The sequence below is a fragment of the Homo sapiens genome, chromosome 22 (genome assembly GCF_000001405.40).
Source record: "Homo sapiens chromosome 22, GRCh38.p14 Primary Assembly".
NCBI classification, from domain to species: Eukaryota; Metazoa; Chordata; class Mammalia; order Primates; family Hominidae; genus Homo; species Homo sapiens.
The window spans coordinates 47,373,562-47,383,036 of NC_000022.11; the positions used below are offsets into that span (position 1 = coordinate 47,373,562).

A 9,475-nucleotide genomic window follows, 5' to 3' on the forward strand; every position below is an offset into this window, starting at 1 on the left:
TTAGATCGTCAGGAGAAACGGCAATGGGAGGAAGCAAAGAGAAGGCGTGGAGCCAGGAGGAGAAGGGAGGCCAGGAGGAGAAGGGAGGCCAGGAGGAGAAGGGAGGCCATGCTCGCCAGCTAGGCTGGGAGCTTCCTGGAGGAGGGACACTCCCTCTTTTTCTTTGCTTTGACCTCTTGGTGATCTGTTACCCACAATGAGGGCACAATCTCCGTGTGGGCAGGGGTGTGGCCCGGGGTGTGGCCCGGGGTTGGGGGGGGGGTCTCAACAATGAATGGGAAGCCCTGGGCCCCACAGTCCTGCCCTGGGCCATGGCACCCATGGCCCTTCCTATGCCCTCAGGACCCCCCACATGTGCCCTTCACAAATGCGGTGCACTCCCCTTCCAGTCTGGGCATCACCCCATCCCCTGCCATCTGTCCCACTCGAGTGGCTATTGCAGTGAGCCTTCTGGAAAACTCTTAATCACCTCCCACTGCTTTGGATACATGGCCAGTGTCTCAATGCAGACAGACTCAGGGTTTCTGGTGGTCAAAGCACTAAGCCCCTCGTGCCCCACCTGCCTCTGCCTGCACCTGCCACCCCCTGGCCCCGTGCAGCCATTCCTGGCGACGCCCTCCTCCTGGGTCTTCGTCCGTCTACCTGGTGTCTGCTCTCTGAGGTGCCCCCCAACTTTTCATCAAGTCCCTGCTCCAATTTCAGGAGCTGCCGGTCCCCACCTCTCCGGGTTAGAGACCCCCAACCCCTCCACACACGCACACACAAAGTCCGTTGCCCTGCACTGTCTCCTGCCTAGAGGGTGGGTGCAGAGCTGGGGCCTTTCTGCTGGATGTTCTGAGGCACCGGGGAGTTTGGGGCACTTGAAGGACACTCGTTCCATGTTAATGAAATGAATGAATCAGTGAACAGAAAGCTGCGCAGCAGAGGCTGCATCTTCCCCCGGCGGGATGCCCTCCCTCAGCCCCCGCCTCCTCAGAGCTCCAGCCCTTGGTGCCTGCAGCCCTGGCAGGGGCCTCCTCAGCACCTTCTCGCTCACTCTTGGTTCTCTCTGAACACACACCACTCCTCCAACGCGTTCACGTCCATCCTGTGCCTCCCCACAGACAGAAGCTTCCCTATATCCCAGACTCCTGAGACCCAAGTCAGCGCAGAGCAGGTGCTCAGTGGATACCTGCTGCATGCGTGGAATGGGAAGGCCTGTCCTCAAGCCTGCACGGAACGTGATGCAGGCCTGGCTCCTCCACCCTCTGTAGGAACAGGGCAGTGCAATAGTGGGACCAGGGCACCCAGAGCATTTGACATGGGATGCAGAGACCAGGTGTGTGTCTGGTCTCCTAGAGCTAGGTGGGAATGGGGGATGACTGGGGAAACTGAGGCCCACCCTAGGCTCGCCTCACCCCCTGCTTATAGAGGAGCAAATCTGGCTCAAAGTGCTATCCTCTTACACCCAGTCCAGCCCTCTGTCCTGTTTCTGAAGCAGGTGAACGACCTTCAGGCTGCAGAGACCCCACTGCACCCACCCCAGCCCCGGCCACAACGATGGGATACAGGGAAGCCCCCTGCAGGCATCTGGGCTCTGACCCAACCAGAGACCAGGCCACGGCAGTCAAGGGTAAAGACGGCCCCACCGAGGCCCCGGAGCAGCGTGGACAGGACTCGTCACTTTTTTTCTTGTGCCTCGCCCTGGGGCCAGAGTGGCCAGCATTGTTTGGTGTGATTTAACTTTATCAGGGGCACCTGGCAGGGAACCCCTGGGAGGGTGATAAAGAGGCAGTTTCCACCCTCAGAGAGCTTGCCCGCTAACAAAGCCCCAGCAGCCAGGCCACCAGCAGCCCAGTCCTCTGCAGGACTTCAGACTTTTGTCACCCTGGGCTCTGTGCCCCAAACACACCTGGACAAAGCCCACCCACTGTCCGGGTCGTGGCTACCTAGCAGCAGGGGAGCACGCGTACTAAACGCCAGCAGAGCCACATGCCAGTCCCCTGAACGGACTTTGCTCAGCACCTCCACCACCCTGGAACCCTTTAGGGAAAGAACAGAGGGTGCTCCCTGGAGGTTGTGGTTCTGCGGGCCACTGTGATCCTAATCAATGCGACCAGTCCTGTGGGGAAGTCTCATTTAAAATCTTAGCGCCTATTTTGGAGGAATGGCAGAGAGTGACCTAGGAGCGTCACATCCTATCTGGATCCTAAGACACTCACAGATGGGGAGGACTGAAGTGCCCGAGGGGCCGGGGGCGCTGCTTACAGAGGGGTCTTAGATTCATCCTGAACCTGTTCCTCACAGCAGAGGATCGGCCAGTGGAGGAAGAAGCTCTGAAATCACAGTAAACGAAGTTAGCCACCTGCAAAATGGACTCCCCAAACACACATGTGCGCGCGCGCGTGCACACACACACACACACACACACACACACAACGTGGAGCACCTCAACATGTGATAGAGATGGGAGGGACCTCAGTAGCCCCAGGCCGACCCCAGAACCTTCTCGGCGCCTACTGTCTGGTCTTGGCATGCCCATCTGAGGGTGGGCTCCCAGCCCGAGCAGCCTGGGCTTCCCGCTGCACCCCTCGGCTACTCTGGGTTGCTGGTGAACCTCAGCCCCCGCGTGCAACCCTGCCTGTGAGTGTTTGGCGAGCCTGGCTCAGGAGCATGGCTGTGGCTCATCCCAGGTGCCAGGCTCTGAGTTACAAACCATGGAACATGGAGTCAGGTCTGAGAGGGCAGGGGTCTCCCTGACCAGCCCCTGCCCCGTAGCCCAGGGACTGTCATTTCTCAGGAGGAAGGTCTGAGAGGGCAGGGGTCTCCCTGACCAGCCCCTGCCCTGCAGCCCAGGGACTGTCATCTCTCGGGAGGAAGGTGTGCATGGCCCCTGAGCTCATCAAGGAAAATCTTTTTCTTTCAGCATCTTTGCCTTTTTTCCCGTTGGGGTACCCAGCCACCGGCAGGGTCCATCCGCAGGGAAGCAGCTGAGGCTCCTCGCGCCAGATGTAGAACCAAGATGACAGAAAGGCCAGACACCGAAAACCCATTTGCATAGTAATTGAAATGTTTTTCCAATTTTTTTTTGAGTTGTTAGAGTTCTGATTCCAGGCTGCAGAAAGGAAAGGCAGATTCTCATTTTCACTTGGCTTATTCCTGATTTGTACCACTGGGGGTTTTAATTTACAAGTCAAAGTTAATAAATTGAGTATGCACTCGATGATTCCAAGCTCCTTCCGACCTCCTTCCCAGCCTGTGAGACCCCGTGGCTCATCTCCTGGGGTTGAGGGGGAATCTCAGTGGACTTTGAAGCTTAGTCTGCAAGGACCTCTCTCCCAAACCCGAGGGCAGCATCCCTGCCCCCGGGAGCCCCTTCAGGGAGCCCGTGGCCTCTGCCTGCCTTCTCACAGATGGGTTTGGGTAAAATAAATAAAACATGGATGGATTAGTTCAGAATAAAAAAGGAGGAATCTGGCTCAAGATGTTATCAACAGTAACAACCACCAGGGCTCTGAGCGCCGTTCATCACTAAGCATGTCCAGTGCTCTATGGCCATTAAAGGAGCCCCCTGGGAGGGAAGGCACCTCGGTTCCAGTCTAGCGAGGGCACTGTGGCCACAGAGCTGCACGAGGCTGAAGCCCATGTCTGCCCAGAGCCAGCCTCCGTTTCCCAGACCCTGAGGACCACTTTCCCAAAAGGCTCCACTGCTGGTGTGTGTGGGGGCAGCCTGAGTCAGTGAGCCTGGAAAGTTCTAGGGACATCTGGAGTCCACCTGTCTCCCAAGAGAGGAGTTCCTCATCCCTCTCCAGTGGCTGCTTGATAAGTCACTCTCTCTTCCTACACGCTGGGTGAATGTGCTGCTTCTGAAAAGAGAATATTTATTTTTTGAGATAGGGTCTCACGCCCTCCTATGTTGCATCATTCCTCAGTGCCCAAAACGGTGCCTGGAACAGAGAGGTGCTCCACAGTTATGGAGGAATTGAATGAATGAATGAAAATTTAAAGAAGAAGGTAGGAGAGGATCCATGCAAGGGGCTGGTGGCTTCTCTGCTTCCTGATTCTGTTTCTTCATCCCCTCCTGGACACCTGGGCTCTTACAGAATTGGTTTGTGCAGTGTGAAAGGAAAATCAATCTTGGGACCCTAAAATCACTAAGGTCCACAAAGGGAAAAGTCAAGCTGGGAACTGCTTAGAGCAAACCTGCCTCCCATTGTAGTCCTAAAAAAGATGGCTACTAAGATAAAAAAGCCACATACCTCCCTCACAAGAAATTTCCTTGTGGACCAAGGACAGACAGAACTCAAAGTCATCCCTCTGTTCACTGAGATGAATGCATATCTGCCTCCTTTGGAGAGGCTCATCAGAAACGGAAAAGAATGCAACCATTTGTGTCTTATCTACCTATGACCTGGAAGCCCCTCCCCGGTTCCAGTTGTCCCACCTTTCTGGACAGAAGCAATGTACATTTTACATATATTGATTGATGTCTCATGTCTCCCTAAAATACATAAAACCAAGCTGTGCCCCAACCACACTGGGCACATGTGGTCAGGACCTCCTGAGGCTGTGTCATGGGCAGGCACCCTTATCTTTGGCAAAATAAACTTTCTAAATTGACTGAGACCTATCTCAAATGTTTGGGATTCACAGCAGGGAATGATGGAGGATTGGAAAGTGCCTCGAGGGGAGGAGGGCTGCTCTTTGCTGTGAGGCTCTGTTCGGGTGCACATTTTGGGAGCTGGCCTGGGGCTTTCCTTTCCTTTGTTTCCGTGGCAGCCAGAGCAAGGTGTGGCCCCTCCCCGTGGAGCTCATGGTGCTGTGGATAAAGGATATGTAGACAGGCAGTCACAGCCTCCCCACTCTGTGATGGGCAGGGCAGGAAAGTTAGAGGGCATGAGGTAGGGTAAGCCCAGGAAGGCTTCCTGGAGGAGGTGGCACTTTGACCTGAGTGGAGACCAGAGTGAGATTCTGAGAGTTTATCAGGTGGACCCAGGGAGGGGGAGGGAGTGGAAGAGCATCCCTGATGGGGACTGGCACATACCAAGACTTGGGGCGAGAGCTGCAGGCTAGAATCTGGGGGCATCATCTTAGACAGAGTCTTTATACGTCCACACAGAGTTCAAGAAAACTGAGAATAGACTCACATAATCCTGAACATAGGTCAATTTTGAATTCCAGATGGCAAGAATAAAGAGAATGAGGCAGACAGTAATGGCTAAGTGATTTCCAGAATTGAAGAAAGGCCCAAGTTCTCCAGCTGAAGATGTTCACTGAGTCCTAAATAGGATCATTAAATAGAAATGCACACCTGGGCCCAATGTTGGACAACAAAAAGGCAAACAAAGCATTTTTAAAGCAAACACAGAGGAAATACAAATTACTACAATAAAGAGAGAGGGGAGGAAGGAAGAATAGGAAGAGAAAGAAGAAGAAATTTAAGAGGAGGAGGAAGAAGAGAAGAAGGAAGAGGAGGAGGAGGAAGAAAAGGAAGAGGAGGAGGAAAAAGAGGAGGAGGCAGAGGAGGAGAAGGCGGAGGAGGAAGAGGAGGAGGAAGAGGGAGCAGAGGAAGAGGCAGAGGAAGAGGAGGAGGACCCGGCGGAGGAGGCGGAGACGGAGGCGGCAGAGGAGGAAAAGGAAGCAGAAGAGGAAGAGGAGGAGGACGCGGCGGAGGAGGCAGAGGAGGCGGAGGCGAAGGAGGCGGCGGCGGAGGAGGCAGCGGAGGAGGAGGCGGAGGAGGCGGAGGCGGAGGAGGCGGAGGCGGAGGCGGCGGCGGAGGAGGCGGCGGCGGAGGAGGCGGCGGCGGAGGAGGCGGCGGCGGCGGAGGCGGCGGCGGCGGAGGAGGACTGACAATAGCAACAATAACTGGCTGAAAGCCAGCTTTGTAATATCCTCAAACTTCTGAAGGAAAATAATGAAGGCTAGAATCCTCTACCAAACTAAAACCAATGAACACCCTTTAAGTCTAATGCAAGAAATTCAGACAAACGGAGCACAAGTTATGACAAGATGGTTCTGTTGAATGGATAAAAATGTGGGCAGCCAGCCCGGCACGGTGGCTCACGCCTGTAATCCCAGCACTTTGGGAGGCCGAGGCAGGCAGATCACTGGAGGTCAGGAGTTCAAGACCAGCCTGACCAACATGGTGAAACCCCATCTCTACCAAAAATACAAAAATTAGCCAGGTGTGGTGGCAGGCACCTGTAATCCCAGCTACTTGGGCAGCTGAGGGAGGAGAATCGCTTGAACCTGGAAGGGGGAGGTTGCAGTGAGCCAAGATCACACCACTGCACTCCAGCCTGGACTATGGAGTGAGATTCTGTCTCAAAAATAAAATAAAATAAAATGTGGGCAGGCTAATACATCTGTGAGTCCAGGAGCAGCTTTTCTCCTAGCACTCGAACCATGAAAGCAAAATGGCTCCCTCTATTTTAGCAGCTGCCATTACTAACAATAAAGTGCTGAATAGAAGTCTGTATAAAAAGAATATTTATAGCACATGTCCTCAAACATGTATCGGGAAATACCAATTTATAATAAAAAGTAAATAAGGGTACTATGGTGAAATGTATTATTTAACCCCGGAGCAGCGCACGTCTTCTGCAAGTTAGATTTTGGAGGTGGGGCACGGTGGCTCATACCTGCAATTCCAGCATTTTAGGAGGTTATTGCCTTTGGAGCTAACACCCCGGTTACTAAGGACTCGGCAGACCCTTCCCTCCTACTGTTCCCTGGGTCAAGATCATTTTCCCCAGGGTTTTAGGATCATTTTCTAAGAGGCCCAGGAGACTGGATTGAAAATGTAAAAAAAAAAATATTTAAGCACATGTCTTCAAACATGTATCAGGAAATATTAATTTATAACAAAATTAAACAAGGTTACTATGATGAAATTTACTGTTTAATCCCTGAGCAGCACGTGGTCTTTTACAAGTTAAACTTTGGAGGCCAGGCGTGGTGGCCCATACCTGTAATTCCAGCACTTTGGGAGGCTGAGGCAGGCAGGTCACTTGAGGCTAGGAGTTTGGGACGAGGCTAGGCAACATGGCAAAACGCCTTCTCTACATAAAAAAATTCAAAAGTTAGCTGGATGTGGTGGTGTGCACCTGTAGTCCCAACTAATCCAGAGGCTGAGGTGGGAGGATCACTTGAGTCTGGGAGGCACAGACCACAGTGAGCTGAGATCCCACCACTGCACTCCAGCCTGGGAGGTAGAGCCAGACCCTGTCTCAAAACAAAAACAAAAAAGTTAGACTTTGGGGTAATAAAGACAGTGCATGCCAATCATAACTGCCTAGAGGAATAGAACACTGCTGTCAAGAGTGGACGGAAAGGGAGAGAAGCCCTGCCTTGCTCCAGGTCAGCATCCTGGACAGTTCTGCAGCAGCTCTGCGGATGGGAGATGCAGCGGTGACTTGCCAGGGCCGCCATGTGTTGCTGTCCGGTGGAAGACAAGCCTGGACTTTGAAATTGTTTTCCCAACAGAAAAGGTCACTGGAAATAAGTGGTGTGTTGTCTCTACTCTGTGAAACATACACTCTGATGGGGAAGCGAAGCGCAGAGATGCTCATCTAGTGTATGTGAATTCAATTCTGTTTGCTGCAGAGAGGGAGTCAGGGAGACAGGGCGAGCCAGGGAGAGGGGGGGAGCCGGGGAGAGGTGGGGAGCCAGGGAGAGGTGGGGAGCCGGGGAGAGGTGGGGAGCCGGGGAGAGGTGGGGAGCCGGGGAGAGGTGGGGAGCCGGGGAGAGAGGGGGAGCCGGGGAGAGGTGGGGAGCCGGGGAGAGGTGGGGAGCCAGGGAGAGAGAAGCCCCATCCGCCATGCACATGAGGAGTGCGTGCCACAGAACATGGCACAGGCAAGCCTGAGATGGCCGAGGCCACCAGCAAGACCCCTGGGCTCTCCAGTGTCCCCTGACCAGTGACCCAGCAGGGGGACAAATGCCTTCGTGGAGGAGGCACGCCGTAGCTTCCTCAACATCCACAAGGAGACAGAAAAATATTCTAGGGTCTTAGCAAACAACTCACCAACCCAGGTCAGAGCGACTGTTGAACCGTCCACAGAGTTATTGACATAAAGCCTCATGTACCGCTCTTTATGGGGAATTTAAGGGAATTTCAGGGGTAATTTTGATTGCTAGCAATTTTCACCTCCTAGATGACTTTAGAACCAGACTCTATACAAGATACAACTCCACTGTAAACAAGTAATTACTGACCAGGATGACACATTGGTGACAACAGGATGTTGGAGGCAGAGAAGAAATATAAAGAGGGGTGATTATCTCTGTTTGGGGCTTTCAGGGGAAACTTCAGACAGAAGATGAGGTCTGAATAGAGTTTTAAAACTGAAAAGAAGCTTTTTAGGTAATGAAATGGAGGAGAACGCATTGCAGGCCAAGGACAGAGTTTTGAAAGCACCAACAGGAAGCTGCGAGGGGTGGCCAGGACCAGAGGTGGCTCGGTATTTATGGAACATTAAGTGTGCGCAGAGCCGTGGGAGAGGAGGGCAGGCAGAACCCCATGCAGCCACACCAAGGAGTTCAGACAGCCCCCTCCAGAGGCACACGGAGAAACAGAAGGCTTCTGAGGGAGCAAGGGGGTGACCAGATTTGCATTCCGTAAACATTTTTATGGCCGCCTGGTAAAGAAAATTATTGAAAGGGCAAGACTTGAAGCAGAGATACACATTAGCAGCTTTGATGGTCTAGGGAGACATGCTGGGCTCCAAAGCGCAGTCATGGTGGTAGGGATGGTCAGGGAGAGGCGAAGCACATGCACCAGTGACCTTGGGGAGTGGCCAGACTCCGGTGCACAGGAAGGAGGACCTGGGGCCAAGGCCTTACATCCTAGGGGCAGAGGGGGCCACTCACCAGCTTGGGCAGCCTGCACTCTCCACCTCCTTAGCTATCACAAAAACAAAGCTGTGCTTTTTTTTTTAATTGTCTTTTTTTCTAGCTCCTCCAGGGCTGGGACCACACCTTTGACACCCCCCTCTCTATGCTGAGCATTAAGAAGACAAGCTCATGATCCTGGCAGTGGCCAACATGCCCCTGCTGAATGAGTGCAGAAGCAGATGTGCAAGGAAGGACATGGAGGGATGCTCTGGATTTCTTGACTGGGAAGTGCACCCTCACCAGGTGTCCCTGGCAGCAGGCTGGCGGACAGTGCCAGTCCAGCCCACATTGGCTCTGAGCCCGCACCTCACAAGACCAGGGAATACTTTGGGAGTATGGCCGGCCCCCTCCAAGGCAGCACCAAAGGAAGTAGGAAATGAAAACCCCAAATGGGCAGAGCTCAGGGCAGCACAGCTCATGGTCCCCTTGCTGTTTAAAAAGGCCTGAGCAGATCCTCCATTGCATGCAACAAGACCCCTGACTAACCCAGGGGTTTACAGGATACCCAGAAGGTAATGTGATTACTGAATAAAGTGAAAGTTACAAGAGAAGTCGAAGCTAGAGATGTGTAAGCCATCTGCAGGAGAGCTGAGTAATGATG

General features: G+C 53.4%; 1 annotated feature.

Moving 5' to 3' along the window:
* Positions 2,151–2,651: an enhancer, noted in NCBI's record as "H3K4me1 hESC enhancer chr22:47771462-47771962 (GRCh37/hg19 assembly coordinates)". NCBI's record gives its function as "activates a minimal SCP1, AML or CMV promoter by ChIP-STARR-seq in naive H9 embryonic stem cells {active_cell/tissue: H9 hESC(naive)}" and the evidence as "EXISTENCE:reporter gene assay evidence [ECO:0000049][PMID:30033119]".